At 37.2% G+C, this 22024-nt stretch overlaps 1 long non-coding RNA gene across 2 annotated transcripts in view, besides 2 other annotated features; it reads left to right on the top strand.

Moving 5' to 3' along the window:
• Positions 5652 to 6477: an enhancer, noted in NCBI's record as "OCT4-NANOG-H3K27ac hESC enhancer chr5:70585543-70586368 (GRCh37/hg19 assembly coordinates)". NCBI's record gives its function as "activates a minimal SCP1, AML or CMV promoter by ChIP-STARR-seq in naive and primed H9 embryonic stem cells {active_cell/tissue: H9 hESC(naive and primed)}" and the evidence as "EXISTENCE:reporter gene assay evidence [ECO:0000049][PMID:30033119]".
• LOC105379016 (uncharacterized) overlaps positions 6337 to 22024 on the top strand; it is a 30505-nt gene continuing 14817 nt past the window's right edge. For both annotated transcript variants that reach the window (XR_948416.3, XR_948417.3), the window contains exons 1-2: positions 6337 to 6598; positions 11785 to 11858. This is a non-coding gene — a long non-coding RNA (uncharacterized LOC105379016). The remainder of the gene's footprint in view (positions 6599 to 11784; positions 11859 to 22024) is intronic.
• Positions 6478 to 7303: an enhancer, noted in NCBI's record as "OCT4-NANOG-H3K27ac hESC enhancer chr5:70584717-70585542 (GRCh37/hg19 assembly coordinates)". NCBI's record gives its function as "activates a minimal SCP1, AML or CMV promoter by ChIP-STARR-seq in naive H9 embryonic stem cells {active_cell/tissue: H9 hESC(naive)}" and the evidence as "EXISTENCE:reporter gene assay evidence [ECO:0000049][PMID:30033119]".

The following is a 22024-nucleotide window of genomic DNA, read 5'->3' as shown; positions in this document are numbered from 1 at the left end:
CACACACCTGATTTCCACCCATCCCTCCTAACATAACACTATTCTAACTTTTACCAGTAAGGAATCAAATAGTGTGTGTAGTGTTTTGAACCACATTTTTTTGCTTAATATTATATTTGTGAGACGAATTGACTATATGACCTGCAAATGAAACTATTTATATTTATTTCTCTAATATTTTATTAGGTGATCATATTACAACTTATTTGTTTACTGTACTCTTTATAAGTATTTTAGTCCACTTTTGGGCCACAGTTTGGGGTTATTTTGGTGTTATTCTGAAAAGTGTTTTCATGAGTACACATTTTTTTTTAGCTATATATATGCATGCATTTCTGGAGAAACCATCTTTACAAGTAGAATTTTGGGGCCTAATACATATCTTTATCCAAATTATTTGAACTAAGTTATGCCAATAACATCAATTTGAGTGTTCTAATTAGTCAACATTCTCATCAATACTTTGCACTTTCTCTTCAACTTAGAATTCTAAAATATTCCTTTCAAATTCAGGATTCTGAATGACAAGTACTTACATCTCATTGTGGTTTGAATTATTTTTTCAGGTAACCAATATAAATAAAAACCTTTTAATAAGTTCATTGGTTATTTGAATATTTTATTTTTGAAGTGTCTAAGATATTTTCTTTCTAATCCAGTCCAGTTATTTTTCTGTGGTTTGCTTCTTGTTGTCTTATTGAGTTCATTGCCTTTTTAATATTCTTTTCCGGTTAACATTTCCCCCTCATTGATCTGAAATGTTTTCATTATATACCACCTTTCCATATCTGTCAATGTCTTGATTTTCTATATGATCTTCATCTATCTGTAGTTATAACTCATTTTAATCATAGAAGCTTTAAGAATTGCTTAATATTTTGTATTGACTCCAAATTCCATTGATTTTATAGGATATTTCTAGCTATTCTTGCTTCTTTATTCCTCCAAGTAAATTTGTCTATTTTTCTAAATCTGGAAAAAGAAATTCTAGAAAATGTCGTTTTGTTATGACACAGAAGATATAAGTTTATTTAAAGAACTGGCACATTTATGATTTTAAGGCTTTTTCAAGAGCATGGAATTTCTTTCCCCGTGCTCAAGTCCAAATTTGTGCCATTCAGAAGTGTTTTCTAGTTTTTTTTATATATAGGTTTTAAACATTTCTGGTTAAGTTTATGCCCTCACATTTTATTTTAGTTTGGTTAATGACGTTTTACATGTGTGAGTTCCCTCAATTATTTGTTTTAAATGTTCTGATTCAATAGGAACACTCTCCTTAGTATCCTTAACAGAAATGATTCTTGTTTATAGAATTGCTAAATAAGTAAAGAAATTTTAAGTTAAATCATGGCAAGGAGTTATAATTATACTAAGCTTTTTTGTTCCTAGAGGTTTTGGCTCACTCGTATGGTAATCTATATGAAAATTTTTCTGTGATATCTAATATTAGAAAGATCCTCAGTGATAGAATAGTGTTTCTTCCTAGCTGATTCATACATCTTTCTCTGCCAACATTTTGTTTGTTGAAGTGTTCCCCAACATATGACTCATTGCTTACTAAATCCCTATTGAGCAGCCAAAGCCCTGGTGACTAATTATGTCATTAATTTGGGAAAGTCAGAGACAATAAGACTGTCAGTTGAAACTTTGTAGGAGGTAAAAAAGTCACTGCTGTCAGCTGCAAAGATCCTTAAAACGGTCTTCAGTAAAGTCAAATTTTGTGACAAGAATTATTGCATCAAAGTCGGGGAAATACCTCTTAGATCAAATAAGATACATTGAAAAGCCAAAAATTATTTTTATCTCACTTTGGGTTCTCATAAGGTCTACCCACTGTTACTTGGATATGAGACTTAACAAATGGAAAAGAAGACAGGGGTACTGTCACACTGTATTTTCCTATGGCCTAATGACCACAATGGTTGATGAACTGCAGTAAAGTTTCTATAATATTTTCCATCTATTCATTTGCTCAATCACCTTGTAATGGTTATGTTGGTTAATTCCAGTCTTTCATGGGTAAGCAACAAAATGAGACTTAATTTGAAATATCCAGTATTTTTCTATTCTTACAAATAATTTTCAGGATCAATGCACTGAGGATTAGGAATGGCAATGTGTATTACTACTTTGATACCAACTATATCCAATCTAATGTTGGAATTTGTTTGACAAAGTGTTGTGTATTTGAAAACAGGCAGCACTGAATAAAAAGAATATGGGCAAAAGAAAAATGGAAGTGTTTTGAATGGAAGTCTAAAATATTTATTGATCAATGCTGAACTGAGTAAGCAGGAGATGCCTGTACATAAATGACATTATCCTGATCTAGTAACAGGGAGAAGCAGAATATCTGAAAGCTGTTTATTAATTTGATAATAATAAGATTAGAAACATGCAAATCAAGATTAATAGTATTCACTTCTAATTGGGTTTAGGTAGACTTTGACTATTTTGCTTCTGATGTTCTTATATTTTTAATTTTCTATAATGATCATATAACATATAATATTTTCATAATATTAAACATTTTAGAATTAAACTCCATTAGAGTGTATCTTTCCTAAAATAATATAAACATCCAATCTTGTCCTTAACAATTCTGTTCTCAAACATTAGCCTATTCCCTCAAGCCAGTGTTGCTTTCGACCCATATTGTCCATCATTTCAATTTATCTCAAAGTTTTTTATTGCAACAATTAAATGCTTTGAATGATACCCAAGGCATAGTTCTATTTCAACAAAATTTCAAAGTTAATAGTTACATCAAATTTTGTTGGTGCTCATTGAATTTGGTTATTAAAACCATAAGTAGTATGTTTTATGCTGACTGAGGGAGATAAAAGTAGTAATGTTTAATATTCAAACTGTGATGACTGAAAAAAAAATGAGGCCTGTAAAATCTTATTTAACGTCAAATTTTAATTAAACAGGCTTAGCAGACCAAAATTAAAATCTCAATTATTTTTAAATTATTAATGACAGACAACTAGATTGAGTGAACACTGGCATCTCTTTTCAAATAACTTAGTTTAGTGGATGAGTTAAACATAAACTAGTTATTATAATGCAGCGAAGTATGTGAAAAATTTAATTTGAACCCTACTTAGCTTAAAATCCTGACATTCTAGGATGCAAGTCCTGCAAACTTTCCATATGTAATCAACAATTTTCTAAACATGCATGCTGTATCTCTCCTGTGTGACTTTGCATACATCATTCCCACATTCTAGATCATCCCGACCCACCTTAAGTGACTGCTTTTGCATAATCTCCCTTAAAATTCTAACTCAAGCACTGCATCTTTTGAGTCCTTCCCTAACATCTTAACATCTTCCTTCTTTCATTCATCATTAACTATAGTTAGTTATTATAGCACCTGTTAGCACTGTAAAATTATGTGTGTTACACAAGTACAACATGCAGACTAAGGTCGTGTATTACCTAGCCTCATACCAGCGTCACCTAGAACAGCAAAAATGTATGCAGATTAATCACAATATATTTGGATGTACAAAATATATTGAGAGCAAAATATGATGGAAATTTAGGTGATGCTCTTTGAGCATTGCTTCCATTTTCCAATAATGTAACCAGGAATCACTGTTCATGTAATTAAAGAACAATAAGTCTATGTGAATCAAAATATACATATACATGCAAATGTTAAACCTCAGCAGGAAGAGGCCCATTCTCTTGCTTGCTGATATATATATATATATATATATATATACACACACACACACACACACACACACACATATATGTATGTTGTGTGTATATGTATATACACACAACAATCTATAGGCTTGCCTTTTAAAATAGTATAAGCAACAAATTTTAAGAGAAACAATAATGAGTGTGTAAAACATTAGATATGTGTATGTACCTTTGCTATTATTTGTGGAAATGGGGCTATAAAATAAGCTCCTTTATTTTCTTTTGTAAAACATTTCTTTAATATGAAGTAATGCAATACGTATTTATGTTCTAAGTGTTAATTTCCTTGGATATAAAATAATATCTTGTTCCTTTGATTCTCTTACATATAAGTGTATTTACTCAGATATTACTCCAAATACACCAGATATATTCAAAGTTGAAAAAAAATATACTTTGGAATGTATTATCACCTTATTTCACATGAAGAAATCAAAATCTCTGGCATCCAAGTGCATTCCAGCCTGAAAAAAATTATGCAATTGTGAATTTAACAGAAAGCAAATTGCTCACATATGGAGTCAACGTGAAGCTATATCAATATTTATTAAAAGTTTATATATTACTTTTGATCCCCTGGAGAGAAATACAAAATTCAAATAATTATTCTATTTTTATATCCCAATTTGTAATTATGAAACTCTAGCATTTTAATTTTTCTCTTTCAAGTTTACCTGAAGCTTCACAAAATTCTGTGAGGAATCTATTATAACAGGTATTTTGCTTATTTCCACACAAACAGAAGGAAATGTGTATTTTCTATGCCCTGAAGAATTTACTCTTTTCTGTAAATGACATATGGTAGTTAATTCTTTTTGGTAATAAAATATTCCTGTTTTTAGGCCGAACAGCCTTTTCTTTAAATTCAGGGCAACATATCAAAGCTTTGCCGTAATAATACAGAGTAATCGACTAAAGTAATATAGAATTTAAATAACAAAGAGTTTAAACAATTTAATATGTCTTCTATTAATTTCAAACTGAAATTTTACAGAAATTATTTGGAATATGCTGCCAGAGTACACACACACACACACACACACACACACACACACACACCACACGCTCACATCACACACTCACACCCAGCTAAAGGAAATTACCACAGCTATAATGATTTCATTAAATATCTGAAATTAAAGTTTCTTTTGGATTTTCAGCTGAAGCTCATAGTAAATAAAAGTAATATGATCATTGTTGCATACTGTGAATCAACAGCACCCAGAAACCTTCGACTTTCTATATTTACACAGCTTAATTATCCGAACTGAAACCTGAGGCCATCTGTGTCAACATGATTTCACAATTCATTTTTCAGGAAAGTAAGGCTGCAAACCAATAAATAACTTATTGTTTGCTTCAGGAAATTTCTGCAAATCAATTTATGTCAGTAAGCAACTCTCCTCTGGGCCAACAGATTGCTCACCTGGGCAGGTAGCAGCTTGTGTCAATTAACAGTTTACTTATGAAGACTTCTGTCATGGCCCTTAACTCACAGTGTCCCCCAATCCTAAACTCTATGTCCTGAACATTACCTATTCTTATCAGTCATTGGTCTTGAAAGGCCCCGGGCAACCATTTGAGCCCAGACTTCAATACTCTATCAATACCACCTTATCATCTACTTTTCTAACATGACCCCTCAAGGTGGTGACCCCACTTACAGTCGTCTTTTATTGAATTTAGCTTTCCCTAATCAACATGCTAGTCTATTGGATGCAGTGTCGGAGGCAAAAATCACAGAGGTTCTGAAAGCATCAGCCCATGGTTTTCTAAACATCATGGTTCAAGACCCTTAACACGAAACAGAAAGTTTCCCCGAGGCGCCGTAAACAACCCATTTGGGCGCTTCCCTGATAATTATAGTGAAATCTGGCATCTAATTTTTTTTGGTGGACTCTCAAATTTTATATTTATGTTTTGATTCCTAGAAATAAAAAATGTTTTTATAAGGAATTCTTTGATCGTTTATGTTTTATTCTTGATAGAAACCTACTACTTTATAACTTCGTTTATGTTTTACTCTTGATAGAAACCTACTACTTTATAACTTCGAACATTATTGATGTTCTTCCTGTATTTCTGAGAGGTGACAGCTTGCTGGCATCCCTCGCTGGCTCTCGGCGCCTCCTCGGCCTCAGCCCACTCTGGCCGCGCTTGAGGAGCCCTTCAGCCCGCAGCTGCACCGTGGGAGCCCCTCTCTGTGCTGGCTGAGGCCTGAGCGGGCTCCCTCTGCTGGCGGGGAGGTGTGGAGGGAGAGGCGCGGGCCGGAACCTGGGCTGCCTGCGGTGCTCGCAGGTCCAGCGCGACTTCCGGGTGGGCGCGGGCTCAGCGCGACTTCCGGGTGGGCGCGGGCTCGGCGCGCCCCGCACTCTTGAGCGGTCGGCTGGCGCCGCCGGCCCTGGGCAGTGAGAGGCTTAGCACCCGGGCCAGCAGCTGCGGAGGGTGCACTGGGTCCTCCAACAGTGATGGCCCGCCGGCGCCGCGCTCGAATTTTCGCTGGGCCTCAGCCACCTCCCCGCGGGGCAAGGGGGCAGGGCTCGGGACCTGCAGCCTGCCATGCTGGAGCCCTCACCCTCCTCCCCGCCCCCGTCCCCTGCCCCCCGCCCCCCGCCCCCCGCCCCCCAACCGCAGGCTCCCGCGCGCCACCCCGAGGGGACGGGCGCCACCTCCTGCTACGCGGCACCCGGTCCCGTCAACCGCCCAACGGCTGAGGAGTGCGGCAGCGCGCCAGAGACTGGCGGGCAGCTCCGCCCGCGGCCGGGATGCACTAGGCAAAGCCAGCTGGGCTCCTGAGTCCGGTGGGTACTTGGAGAACTTACTACGTCTAGCTGGAGGATTGTAAATGCACCAATCAGCATGCTGTGTCTAGCTCAAGGTATGTGAACGCACTAATCAGTGCTCTGTGTCTAGCTAATCTGGTGGGGACTTGGAGAACTTTTGTGTCTAGCTAAAGGATTGTAAACAGACCAAGCAGCTCTCTGTAAAATGAACCCATCAGCTCTCTATGAAATGGACCGATCATCAGGATGTGGGTGGGGTGAGATAAGGGAATAAAAGCAGCTGCCAGAGCCAGCAACAGCAACGTGCTAGGGTCCCTTTCCACAGTGTGGAGGCTTTGTTCTTTTGCTCTTTGCAGTCTTGCTGCTGCTCACTGTTTGGCTCTGCGCAGAGCTGTAACACTCACCAAGAAGGTCTGCAGCTTCACCCAAAGATATTCCAAAGATACAGAAAACTATATAGAGACATTTTGTATAGTTCTAATAGCATATAATCCACAGGTCCCTGATCTATAATATGGGTTTTTTATAAAATTGTTTTTTTGTATGCTATGAGGAATTTTACTTGTTAAAAAGAAGAGGTGGAAAGGCAGAATATGAAAACTATGAAAATGACATAAGAGACTATGAATTAGGTGAGAAACCAGAGAGGTTTAGAAACCTGTAGACATTGTGCATCCCCCAATGCCTTTCCCCTTAAAAAAATATTATATTCTAGTCCAGTCCATCAAATAAAGTCTACATTCATTAGAAACATATTCTCTTGGTTTTTATAATTTCAGTTTTTTCCAGACACAGTGCATATGCAGATTTGTTACTTTTGTACAGTGCACCCTGGTAGTGAGCATAGTACCCAGTAGGTAGTTATTCAGCCCATGCTCCCCTCTCTCCCCCACCCCCATAGCCTGCAGCATGTCTTGTTCCCATGTTAATGTTCCTGTGTGCTCAGTGTTTAGGTTCCACTTATAAGTGAGAATGTGTGGTATCTGGTTTTCTTTTCCAGCACTAATTTGCTTAGGATTATGTCCTTAGCTCCATCCATGTTGCTGCAAAGGACATAATTTCATTCTTTTTTATGGAGGCATAGTATTCCATAGTGTATATGTACCACATTTTCTTTATCCAATCCACCTTTGATGGGCACCTAGGTTCATTCCATGTCTGTGCTATTGTGAATAACATGCTGATGAACGTACGAGTGCATATATATTTTTCTGGTAGAATAATTTATTTTCCTTTGAATATATACCCAGTAATGGGAATGCTGGGTCGAAGGGTATCTCTGTTTTAAGTTCTTAGAGAAATCTCCAAAATACTTTCCACAGTACCTGAACCAGTTTACATTTCCATCAACAGTAGTGTATAAGCATTCCCTTTACTCTGCAGCCTGGCCAACATCTAATTTTTTTACTTTTTAATTATAGCTGTTGTGACTGATGTGAGATGGCATCTTACTGTGGTTTTTGCTTGCATTTATTTATTTGATGATTAGTAAGGATGAGTGTTTTTTCATATACTTGAGTGTCTTCTTTTGAGAAAATATCTGTTCATGTCCTTTGCCTTTTCTTGATTTAAATTTTAAGTTCTGGGGTACATGTGCAGGAAGCGCAGTTTTGTTACATAGATAAACGTGTGTGGTGGTGGTTTGCTGCACCTATCAACCCATCACCTAGGTATTAAGCCCAGCATGCATTAGCTATTTTTCCTGATGCTCTCCCTCTCCTCAACCCCCTACAGAAAATTATAGTGTGTGTTGTGTGTTGTTCCCCATTGTGTGTTGTTCCCCTCCCTGTGTCCATGTGTTCCCATTGTTCAGCTCCCACTTATAAGTGAGAAGATGCGGAGTTTGATTTTCTGCTCCTGTATTAGCTTTGCCCTTTTTAACTGGGGTTGTTTTATGCTTGTCATTTTTTCTTCCTTATGGATTTGTTATATTAGATCTTTATCAGATGCATAGTTTGCAAATATTTTCTCCCATTCTGTAAGTTGTCTGTTTACTCTGTGGATAGTTTCTATTGCTGTGCAGAAGCTTTTTAGTTTGATTGACTTTCACTTGTCAATTTCGTTTTTGTTGCAATTGTTTTTAGAAACTTAGCCAAAAATTATTTGCCAAGGCCAATGTCGAGAAAAATATTTCCTAGGTTTTGTTTTAGAGTTTTCATAATCTGAAGTCTTACATTTTAACCTTTAATCCATCTTGAATTAATTTGTGTGTATGGTGGAAGGTAAGCATCCAGTTTCACTCTTCTGCTTATGGCTAGCGAATTATCCCAGCACCATTTATTGAATAGGGTGCCTTTTCCCCATTGTTTGTTTTTGTTGGCCTTGTCCACGATCCAGATGGTGGTAAGTGTGCAGCTTTATTTTTGAGTGTTCTATTCTGTTCCATTGGCTTAAGTGTCTGCTTTTGTAACAGTATCATGGTTAGTGTACACTTATAGTATAGCTGGAAATTGGGTAGTATGACGCCTCTCTGGCTTTATTATTTTTGCTCAGAATTGCTTTGGCCATTCTGGCTTTTGGGGGTGTTCCATATAAATTTAGAATAGTTTTTTCTAATTCTGTGAAGAATGATGTTGGTAGTTTCATGGAGATAGCCTTGAATCTACAAGTTGCTTTGGGCAGTGTGGCCATTTTAACAATATTGATTCTTTTAATCTGTAAACATGGAATGTTATTCCATTTATTTGTGTTATCAAAATCTCCTTCCTTCCTTCCTTCCTTCCTTCCTTCCTTCCTTCCTTCCTTCCTTCCTTCCTTCCCTCCCTCCCTCCCTCCCTCCCTCCCTCCCTTCCTCCCTCCCTTCCATCCTTCCTTCCTTTTCTTATTTCCTTCCTTTTTTGAGACAGAGTCTCACCCTTTCACCCAGGCTGGAATGCAGTGGAGTCATTATAGCTCACTGCAGGCTTGAACTCCTGGCCTCAAGCCGTCAGGGTAGTTAGGACTACAGGCATGTGCCACCATGCCTCGCTATTTAAAAAAAAAAAAAAAATTTGTATAGATGAGGTTCCACTATGTTGCCTAGGTTGGTCTCAAACTCCTGGGTCCAAGCGATATACCTGCCTCGGCCTCCCAAAGGCATGAACCACTGCATCCAGCTTCAGATTTCAGCTGTGTTTTGTAATTCTCCTTGTGGAGATCGTTCACATCTTAGGTTAGTTGTATTTGCAGGGATTTTATTTTCATCCTAGGTGTTGTAAATATGATTGTGTTCTTAATTTAACTCTCAACCTGGATGTTGTTGTTGTATAGAAATGCTACTAATTGTTGTACATTGATTTTGTATCCTGAAACCTTGCTAAAATCCTTTATCATTTCTAGTAGACTTCTGTTGAAGTCTTTAAGGTTTTTTAGGTATAGAATGATATTGTTGGGTGAAGACAGATAGTTTGCCTTAATCTTCACTTCCTATTTGGGTGCTTTTCTCTTTTTCTGTTGCAAGATTGCTCTGACTAGGATTTCTGGTACTATGTTGAATAGGAGTGGTAAGAGTGGATGTCCTTGGCTTGTTTCATTTCTAAAGGAGAATGCTTTCAGCTTTTGCCCATTGAGTATTATATTGGCTGTGGGTTTGTTGTAGATAGCTCTTTTTTATTTTGAAGTATGCTTATTTGAAGCCTCAACTGTTGAGGGTTTTTTTTTGTTTTGTTTTTTCATGAAGGGACACTGGATTTAATTGAAAGCTTTTCCGGCATCCATTGAGATGATCATATGGTTTTTGATTTAATTCTGTTTATCTGGTGAATCACATTTATTGATTTGCATATGTTGAACCAGCCATGCATCCCAGGAATAAAGCCTGTATTGTCATAGTAGATTAATTTTTTGATATGCTGCTGATGGATTCAGTTTGCTAGTACTTTGTTGAGAATTTTTGAGTCTATGTTCGTCAACAGTGGTCACCTGAATGTTCTTTTTTTTTTGCGTCTCTGCCAGGTTTTGGTATTAAGCTGCTTCTGGCTTCACAGCGTGAGTTAGGAAGGAGTACGTTCTCTTCAACTTTTCTGGAATAGTTTCAGTAGAATTGTACTAGTTCTTCGTTATACTTCCGGTAGAATTTTGCTGTGAATCCATATAGTCCAGGGCTTTTTGGCTTGGTAGATTTTTTATTACTTATTCAATTTCAGAGCTTCATATTGGTCTCTTCAGTATTTCAGTATCTTCCTGATTCAATCTTGGAAGATTGCCTGTTTTCAGAAATTTATCCATTTCCTCTAGATTTTCTAATTTTTGTGTCTAGAGTTATTCCTAGTATTCTCTGAGGATTATTTTGTATGTCTGTGGGACCATTTTTAATGTCGTTTTTGTCATTCTGATTTATATATTTAGATCTTCTCTTTTTTTTCTTTGTTTATCTAGCTAAAGGTCTATCAATCTCTTTTTTTAAATCAACTCTTGGTTTCATTAATCTTTTGTATGGATTTTTGCATCTCAATTTCATTCAGATCTTCTCTATTTTAGTTGTTTCTTTTCATTCCTAGCGTTGATGTAGGGTTGTTCTTTTTTTTTTCTTCCCTAGTTCCTTTAGGTGTAGTGTTAGATTGTTAATTTGAAGTATTTCTAACTTTATGATAAAGGCATTTAAACGTTCCTCTTAACACTGATTTAGCTGCATCCCAGAGATTTTGGTAATTTGTGTTCCCATTTTCATTAATTTCACTTTCTTAAAATTTCTCCCTTAATTTTGATTTTCACACAGAAGTTATTCAGGAGAAAGTTGTTTAATTTTCATCTATTTGTGTAGTGTTGAGAGATGTTGATATTTATTTATATTTTGATTACATTGAGATCTAAGAGTGTGCTTGATATGATTTCATTTTTTAAAATTTATCCAGACTTGCTTTATGACCAAGCATGTGGTCAATGTTAGAATATGTTCCCTGTGCAGATGAGAAGAATGTATATTCTGTGGTTATTGAGTGGAGTGTTCTGTAGATGTCTTATTAGGTCCAAATGGTCAAGTGTGAAGTTTAAGTACACAGTTTCTTTCTTGGTTATCTGCTTTGATGATCCAGTGCTGCCAGCGGGGGTGTTGAAGTCTCCTACAGTTATTGGGTGGTCGTCTGTCTTTTTGTAGTCCAAAAAGAACTTGTTTTATGAATCTGGGTGCTCCATGTTGGGTGCATTTATATTTAGGGTACTTAAGTATTCTTGTTTGATCATATACTTTCTCATGACGTAATGCTCTTCATTCTTCAATTGTTCTTTTTAATTTTGATTAAAGTCTGTTTTATCTGATATAAGAATAGTTACTCCTGCTTTTTTGTTATCATTTGCATGGCAGATTTTCTCCATCCCCTTATTTTGGGCCAGTGGCTGTCATTACATATGAGATGAGTCTCTTGAAGACTACAGATGGTGAGCCTTGCATTTTTATCCAGTTTGCCATTGTATGTCATTTAAGTGGGGGTGTTTAGCCTATTTACATTTATGGTTAATGTTGATACATGAGATTTTGATCCTATCATCACGTTTGTAGCTGGTTTTTAGGTAGACTTGATTGTGTAGATACTTTATAGTGCCTGTGAGCTATGTACTTAAGTGGGCTTTTGTGGTAGCAGGTGTCATTCTTTTTACTCAATGTATAGCACTCCCTTAAGGACCTTTCATAAGGCTGGTCAAGTTGAAATTGATTCCCTCAGTATTTGCTTATCTGAGGAGAAATTTGTTTCTTCTTCACTTAGGAAGTTTAGTTTAGTGAAATATAAAATTATTGCCTGGAATTTATTTTCATTAATGATGTTGGACATAGGCCCTTAATCTCTTCTGGCTTGTAAGGTTTTTGCTGAGATATTTACTACTAGCCTAGTGGAGTTCTTGCTTTATGAAAACATGACCTTTCTCTCTAGCTGCCTTTAAGATTTTTTTTTTCTTTTGTATTTACTTTGGTGAATATGATGACTGTGTGCCTTAGGGATAGTCACCTTTTATAGTGCCTAGCTGGGTTTGCTGTATTTTTTGGATTTACATGTCACTCTCTCTAGCGAGGTTAGGAAAATTTTCATAGACTCTATTCTCAAATCTATTTTCCAAGTTGCCTTTTCTCTTTGTTTCTCTTCTAGGAATGACAATGAGTCGTAGATTTGGTCTCTTTATATAATTCCATATTTCTTAAAGCTTTGGTTCATTTTCTTTTTTTAATTCTTTTTTAAAATTTTCTTTTGACTCAGTTGATTCAACGAACCAGTCTTTGAGCTCTGAGATTCTTTCCTTAGCTTGGCCTACCTTCTGTTAATATTTCTTATTGTATTATAAAATTCTTATACTGAATTTTTTCTGCTCTAGAAATTCAGTGTGGCTGTTGTTTAAAATGGCAATTTCATCTTTCAGCACTTACTTAAATTGCTTTACTGGATTACTTGGCTAGGGTTTCAACTTTCTCCTTAATGTTCATGAGCTTCCCTGCCATCGAGGTTCTGTATTCTATGTCTGTTGCAATTATTTTAGACTGATTAAGAACCATTGCTTGGTAGCTAGTGGGCTAATTTTGAGGTAAGAGGACACTCTAGCTTTTTGAATTGCCAGAGTTCTTGCACTGATTTTTTCTCTTCTGGTAGGGTTAGTGTTCCTTTAACTGTAGTGTATGTTGAGTATAGGCAATTGGTTTTGTTTCTGGATGCTTTCAAAGGGTCAGGGCTTTCTCTGTCCAGGATTTTTATGTATGAGTAATTCTGGTGTTTGGTTTCACAGGTGTATATGTAGCAGGATAAATTTTGATGTTGTAGTTTGGGATGTGATCCAATGCATAGTGCTTAAGAGTGATGGCCAGTGGCTAGCCTAATACCCAGTGGCATGGCTGTTTTATACTTCCTTTTGTTTGCAGGTGTGCTCTATAGTGGGGGTGGGAGAGATGCCTCCATCACCAGATGTGCTCCTGGGCCCTGGGGGAGTCTCCTGCAATCACTGTGTTTCTTGTGTTAGGTGTTCTAGGCCACAGGTCTCTCTCAGGCAGAGGCCCTTTCCTAGGAGCCATTCTGGGGAACTAGCTGTAGTGTTTGGGTTCCCTGCACAGGCTTCCTCCCTCTTCAGCTCAGCTTCATTGCTGCCTCTGCATCCACTCAGCATTTTCTCTCTCAAGATCTGCCTAAATTACGGTGGTTTACTCCATAATTTGGTATCTCTCAGTGGGGGTGGTGCTTCCTGACAATGTCAAATTGACCATGTATTGTCACAGAATGAAAACCTTTTGATAGACTTTGTAACATTTTTGAATATTACATTCAGGAGTAAAATCTTACGCAGTGTGATCCCAGCTTTCTCTTCACTTTTGAGAATAACCTTAAGTAATTAAAGGATAATTAAATATGTAATTAAAAATTGAAAAATATAACAGCTACACTTCCAGATGTTAGCTTCTTTCAGAAAATTTTAAAATCTCTTTAAAGAAAGGTAAATTGAGACCAAAATAGATTAATAGCTTTATAAAAATAAGTGCTCAAGGAGGGTGTTACATGTGAAAATTAAACTTGGAATTTGTCATTTTACCCGTAAAATTACTGAGAGTAATTTCCTTGAAATGGAAATAACTTTACAAATTTTTAATTAACAAAAATGCTAAAATATTACTCCGCTTACCTTTATGTAACCTCTTCCTTGAAAACAACAATTTACTCATCTGGTGTGTGACTCTGATAACCTTCAATCATTCTCTATATCTGACACCATGACTAGTAACTTAGATCTTTAACTAAGCAACCTTTCTTTCCACCTTTGTGATATTATATCTAGTAATTTAATAACAGACAATCTATGTTGCAAATTAAACTTCCAAATTGAATAGTAATTTTCAAATCCCAAGGACCCATTTCTTCTGCCTCAATCTTAATTAGGTCTTAGTTAATAGAAAAATTAACTGGCTGGGTGCGGTGGCTCATGCCTGTAATCCCAGCACTTTGGGAGGCCAAGGTGGGCGGATCACCTGAGGTCTGAAGTTCGAGACCATCCTGGCCAACATGGTGAAACCCCATGTGTACTAAGAACACAAAAAATTGGCCGGGTATGGTGGTGGGTGCCTGTAATCCCAGCTACTCAGGAGGCTAAGGCAGGAGAATCACTTGAACTGGCGGGGTGGAGGATGCAGTGAACCGAGATCCCAGCACTGCGCTGCAGCCTGGGCAGCAACAGTGAAACTCCTCAGAAAAAAAAAAAAAAAAAAAGAAAAAGAAAAAGAAAAAAGAAAATTAACTAAATCAAGCCTAAATAAAACATATTCACAAAGTGGCAGACTTTTTTAATCCAAAAATTTAACTGTATTAATGTCTCATTTGTAGAACATTATTTTACAATGAGGTTTTACACATCAATCAGTTGAGTCACTTCTTTTTTTTTTTGAGATGGAGTCTCGCTCTGTTGCCCAGGCTGGAGTGCAGTGGTGTGACCTCAGCTCACTGCAGCCTCCACCTCCTGGGTTCAAGCGATTCTCCTGCCTCAGCATCCTGAGTACAGGCACTACAGGCACGTGAGCAAGAGAAGCTGACAGATTCAAATGTTCACAAACATTTATGTTCTATTTTGATAGATACATAAACTATGTTTCTCATTCTTATATACTTTATATTAGGGCATGGGATTAAAGTCAAAATAGTGGAAAATTAGTAGAAATAACATATTTTATATCCAATTTAGTCTCCAAAATCCCAACATGCACTCTTCTGTATACGTTTTTCAGTATGCTTGACTGGAACGGCCAATTCTACAGTAGTCTTGGAAGCAACATACTGCAGATTAAATACCTTAGTAGCCTATGTTCTTGAATGCGGACATAAAGGAGCAATGCTTTTCCTATCTTAAAAAAACAGTTTATATGAATGAAACTTCTGTTCTGTTTAAGATATTATATGTTGTTGAGTGTAGTTGTCAAAGCAACTAGCACGATTCCAAGTAATATAGAAATCACCAGCTTGAGTTGGGTCTGCCATAACAGCACCTAAAACGTATCCACTAAATTAGTATTAAATGGACAAGTAAACCAAACTCAGAGGGTTGAAATGAAGACTTGTAATACCCAGTGAAAAAAAATTATTGAAACTACCATCTAAAATTAATTGGAAGCTTAATATTACCTCTAGGAAAGAGTGTGGGAAATGAGGAAAGGCAAAAGGTAATGTGTTCATGTTTGTTCTGTTCCATAATCCAAGAAATAGATAAACACAGGCAAAAAAAAAAAAAAAAAAAAAAGAAAAAAGAAATATCCTGTCTTTAGAGTGGAAAGAAAGTGGATAGAGTTGAGTTGCTAAACCTTAGCATTATTGACATTTTATGCCTGATATTCCTGCATTCTGTGGGAGGTTATTCTTTGCATTGTAGGATATTAATAGTATCTTTAGGCTATACCACCACATACCAGTAGCATCACCACCTAATCATTATAATTCAAAATGTCTCCAGACACTGACAAGTGTTCTATGGAAACAAAGTCATTCCTTGTTGGAAACCACTTGTAAACAAAAAGTCTAGTAATGGTGGAATTATACAGTGACAGAAAAGCTCAGGTTTTTCTGATTAGGTTGAAAAAGCTGCTCAGAAATTAAATCCTACTGTGTTCATAAAAAACAAGGAACCCAGCCCTGAAGCAAAGAACTCATCAGGGAAGTTGTTTTCTCTTTCAAGTCCATGATTTCAAATGACCTTAAAGTAGTCATCTTTACAGTCAGAGAAGCATATGTGTGTTGGGGAGGAGAAAAAAGAAGGAAATGAGGCAGACTTTAGAATTATACCTAGGAAAGAACTGTATGTTTGGTTATAAACTAGATCCAATAAATAAATAAATGGTTTCCACATAACTACTTGGCAAAGGTACAATAAGCCTATTGTGAGAAAAAAAAATTAAGGCTTAAAATATCCTCAAGCATCCCAAATTGCACTAATCAGTGCAATTGATGAGTCATGCTGAGAAAACACTCATTGTTCTAATTTAAGATGGAGGCATGGAGAATAAGAGAAAATGTAAATTACCTCAGAAAGTAAATCTATGAGCCACAGGGACAATGGACCTTAAAGTTATTTCCACAGGACATGTTTATGGTTTCATCAAATAAATATTTGTACTGCTCAGAAATATTTTTGTCAGTGCTCTGCAGACTTCTTTGTCTTCTGATAGGAGCTTCACCATGGTAACTTAGATTTTACAGATAATTTGTCTTTTGACTTTATAGGACACTAGTCCTCGTTAAGTCATATAGTGGCCTGAGGGAGAGAACTGCACGTCATGAAACATCCTGAACTCTAAGTTGTAGGCAGTAACTGGGCAAAACTTTAAGTTGTTTACAGAGGGAAGAGAAGTGAATTTTTCATATATAAAGAAGTGTGCAAATTGTATTTCATGAGTAGTCTTTTGTCTTCTGGAATGGTGATATATACAAAGTAATCTGGGAAGATACAATTTGGTAATAGTAGATCCTTCGTTAACTTGAATTATTTTTTGCAGGAAAGATGCGTCTTTAGCCAAAATTACTTATGGTAAACTGTTATGTAAGCAAGAAATCACCTTCTACTTGGTTTAAGCTATTCAGTGTACTCTCTAGATAGATATGACACAAAGCTAGCATTATGATACAGTAAACCAAGTGTTAATGTAACTTTATGTTGATTTTGACTACATTCTGAAAATAATAAAAGTCATCTGGTATTTTAGGCTTACGATATGAACTTGATACTATGATAGGTGTCTGAAATGTTTATCTCATTTGATTCTTAGAACAAACTTATATTGTGGGTACTAATACAGTACTGATTTTTTAAATAAGAAAAAGGATTGCAAAAAATGTAAAAAGTCTTATTAAAGAGTACAAAATTCTATCTCCAAATGTGTAATGAATTTTATATAGTCAGTTAATATTTGTTTAGCTCAATAAAGTAATGTTCGGTGTAATAGTTGATTTCTTTAATGTTCATTCAGAATCACATTATCAATTTGAAATTAATTCACCTATTCGAAGAAGTTGCTTCCTCCAATTAAGACAGTATAGTAAGCAAAATAATGGTTTACAAAACAAACAAACCAACAAAAAAAAAACCGCATGTCCTGATTTCTGGAAGCTGTGAATATGTTAACTATCTGGTAAAAGGGGCTTTGCAAGTATTATAATGTTAAGGATGGTAAGATGAAAAAGTGTCCTTTTGAGTTCAGTGTAATCAAATGGGTTTAAACTAGGGAAACATTCTTGGCTAGAAACATAAGGTGGTATGATTTCAAAAGAATGGTCAGAGAGACACAGCATTTCTGGTTTGAACAAATGAAAGACCATAAGCTAACAAATCAGGACAGCCTCTGGAGGCTGGAAAAGTCAAGGAAACTGATTTTCCCCTAAAACCTTCAGAAAGGAACACAACAGTTCTCACTCTTTGATTTTAGCCTCATAAGATGCATTGCAGACATCTGACAAACACAATTGTTTGACACTATATTTGTGCTATTTTAAACCACTAACTTTGTAGTAATTGGCTACAGCAGCAGTAAGAAAATAATGCAGAGTGTTTCTATAATGGAGATAAAAGTATAAACAAGAGGCAAGGATTTCCTTCCTTCACAGTGTTTATAATATACTAAGAAAACAAACATTAAATACACAGGGCCCCAATAGATTATTCCACTTTAATTTTAGCTGGCACTGTGGAAGGAAAATAGAAATTCTAGAATATAGTGAATAGGAATATAACTTATTCTTATGTGGGAAGAAATGCTTATTACTGAATACTATTTGGGCTGAAAATAAATGCACTGTAGTTACAGTAAGTACAGTAAAAAAGGTAGTTTGCTATAAGGGAACAGAGCCATTGAAATGTAATGAAAGTCATCAAAGTTTTAGGCACTAACTATAAGTTGCAAGGAGTTAAACAATTGTAAGCAGTCCGATTATTAAAAAAATATGTGCCTGATTCTCAAAATCACAAGTATTCTTTAAGATTGCTAACCGTAGTAGTCAGTTTTCACAATGATATAAAGAATGACTTGAGACTGAGTAATTTATGAAGAAAAGAGATTTAATTGATTCATAGTTCTTCAGGCTTTACAGGAAGCATGAATGGGAGGACTCAGGAAACTCAGAAAATCATGGTGGAAGGCAAAGGGGAAACAAGGTTCTTCTTGACATGGCACCAGGAGAGAGAGAGCACAAGGAGGGAAGTGCCACACACTTTTAAACCATCAGATCTCTTGGAACTCACTCACTATCATGAGAATAGCATGTGGAAATCTGCTCCCATGATCCAGTCACCTCCACCCAGGCCCCTCTCTTGACATGAGGGGATTACAATTTGAGATGAGATTTGGGTGGGGACAGAGGGCCAAGCCATATTATTTCTCCTCTGGCCCCTCCCAAGTATCATGTCCTTCTCACATTTCAAAACCAATCATGCCTTCCCAACAGACTGGAAGTCTTAACTTATTCCAGCATTAACTCAAAAGTCCATGTCCAAAGTTTCATCTGAGACAAGGCAAATCACTTCTGCCTATAAGCCTGTAAAATCAAAAACAAGTTAGTTAATTTCAAGACAACAGTGGGGGTACAGGGATCAGGTAAACACTCCAATTCCATAAGGGAGAAATTAGCCAAAACAAAGGGTCTGCAGGCCCCATGCAAGTCCAAAACCCGACAAGGCAGTCATTAAATCTTAAGGCTCTGAAACAATCTTCTTTGACCTCATCTCTCACGTCCAGAGCATACTGATGCAATATCTGGGCTCCCATGAGCTTTGACAGCTCTGCCTCTGTGGCTCTGCAAGGCACAGCCCCCACAGCTGCTTTCACAGGCTAGGATTGAGTGCCTGTGACTTTTCCAGGCACACCGTGCAAGCTGTCAGTGGATCTACCATTCTGGGGTCTGAAGCACTATGACCCTCTTCTCAAAGCTCCAGTAGGGAGTGCCCCAGTGGGGAATCTGTGTGGGGGCTCCAACCCCACATTTTCCCTCTGCACTGCCCTAGTAGAGGTTCTCCATAAGGGCTCCACTTCTGCAGCAGACTTTTGCCTAGACATCCAGGCATTTCCATACATCCTCTGAAATCTAGATGGAGGTTCCCAAACCTCACCTCTTCCCTTCTGCACAACCACAGGCCCAGCCTCATGTGGAAGCCACCAAAGCTTGAGGCTTGTATTCTCTGAAGCAATGGCCTGAGTAGTGCCTTGGACCCTTTTAGCCACAGTTGGAGCTGAGCAGCTGGAACACTGGGCACCATGTCCCGAGGCTGCCCAGAGCAGCAGGGCCCTGGGCCCATCCCACTAAACAATTTCTCCCTCCTAGGCCTCCAGGCTTATAATGGGAGGGGCTGCCTCAAAGGTCTCTGAAATGTACTGGAGACGTATTCCACATTGTCTTTGCCATTAACATTTGGCTCCTCTTTACTTATGCAAATTTTTGCTTGAATTTCTCCCAAGAGCGTGGGTTTTTCTTTTTTACTATATGGTTAGGCTGCAAATTTTCCAAACTTTTATGGTCTGCTTTCCTTTTAAATATACGTTTCAGTTTCAAGCCATCTCTTTCTTCATGGACATGAGCATAAACTTTTAGAAGCAGCCAGGCCACATGTTGGAAGGTCTGTTGCTTAGAAATTTGTTTCACCAGATACCCTAAATCATCTCTCTGAAGTTCAACATTACACAGATCTCTAGGGCCGGGTCAAAAGGCTGTCAGTCTCTTTGCTAAAGCATAGCAAGAGTAACTTTTTCTTCAGTTCTCAATGAGTTCCTCATCTCCATCTGAGACCCCCTCAGCCTGGACTTCATTATCCAAATCATTATCAGCATTTTGTTCACAACCATTCAACAGGTCTCTAGGAAGATTTAAACTTTCCCATATCTCCCTGTCTTCTTCTGAGTCCTCCAAACTGTTTCCTACCTCTGCCTGTTACCCAGTTCCAAAGTTACTTCCATATTTTCAGGTATTTTTATAGCAATGCCCCACTTCTCTGGTACCAATTTTCTGTATCTATCTCTTCTCAAACTGCTATAAAGAACTACTGGGTAATTTATGAGGAAAAGAGGTTTAATTGACTCACAGTTCTGCAAGCTTAACAGGAAGCACGACTGGGAGGCCTCAGGAAACTAACAATCATGGCAGAAGGTAAAGGGGGAGCAGGTGCCTTCTTCACATGGTGTCAGTAGAGAGAAGAGCCGGGGGGAAGTTCCACACACTTTTAAACCATCAGATCTTGTGAGAACTCACTGACTGTCACGAGAACAGTATGGGAAATCCACCCCCATGATCAAATCACCTCCTACCAGACCCCTCCCCTGACACGTGGGGATTACGATTCAACATGAGATTTGTGTGGGGACACAGAGCCAAAGTATATCACTCACCTAATAAGTGCTTATCTTGATTAAATTGTATGGAAAACTACAACTTAAATTATGTGATCAGAAATTCTATCTAATGATAGACATTAATTCAAATGCCACCATGTTCTCCTGTCAGCTTCTCATATATTGTCATGGATATGATTTAATTGTCCTTCAGTGTCATGGAACACATCCTGAGATTCAGCTGATGAAGTTGCAAACTGGATAAATATAAATGATGATGTTTCAAAAAAGAAAATCCTCACTTAGTAAAAAAATGTTAGGTTTATTTTACACTTTCTTGACAGCTGAACTAATATAAAAAGCACTCACCTTGTTTCTTTCAGTTTTGTGTATGTTTTGATTGTGTCAGCTGAGTTCTTCTTCACGGGATTTTCTATGTGTCAGAGACACTTGTCCCCCATTCTGTTTTCCTGTGTAATCTCAAAATTGACAAGGGTCTTCACTGTATGTGAAAAGGATGTCTGTGTTGCTTGATTTTATGTGTGACTACTGTTTGCGATTGTCCTTTTCCCAATATGACATGTAATTTTACAGCACAGATAGTTTTTCAAAAGAATTACATTCCCAGGCTTAGCAGAGGGAGCGGCCTACTTATTGAAATGTGAAATCGAATCTCTGAAACAGAAACACCAAATTATTATACTAATCTGTAAAGTAGCTATAAAACGTTATTTTTCAGAGTGAAGTATCTGTCAAGATGGCTAGTTTTGGTGTATAATAGAAACGGTATTTTATTCCTTTTATTTCTGTAAACAGATTAAGTCTGTGTGTGTGTGTGTGTGTGTGTGTGTGTGTGTGTGTGTGTGTGTGTGTGTACATGGGATATAATACAAATCTACCTCGACTTATAATGAGTTACATCCTGATAACCACAGGCCAAGATGTGTTATGATGGATCTGGATATACTCATAAGTTGAAAATATTTTAGGTAAAAAATGCATTTAGTACATTTAACAAAAATACTGGCAAACCGAGTCCAGCAGCACATCAAAAAGCTTATCCACCAAGATCAAGTTGGCTTCATCCATGGGATGCAAGACTGGTTCAACATACGCAAGTCAATAGATGTAATCCATCACATAAAGAGAACCAAAGACAAAAACCACAAGATTATCTCAATAGATGCGGAAAAGGTCTTTGACAAAATTCAATAGCCCTTCATGCTGAAAACTCTCAATGAACTAGGTATTGATGGAACATATCTCAAAATAATAAGAGCTA

Source organism: Homo sapiens, chromosome 5 (assembly GCF_000001405.40).
Source record: "Homo sapiens chromosome 5, GRCh38.p14 Primary Assembly".
In the NCBI taxonomy this organism is placed as follows: Eukaryota; Metazoa; Chordata; class Mammalia; order Primates; family Hominidae; genus Homo; species Homo sapiens.
Note: the sequence above shows the minus strand (reverse complement) of the source record. Positions and strands in the feature narration are given on the sequence as shown.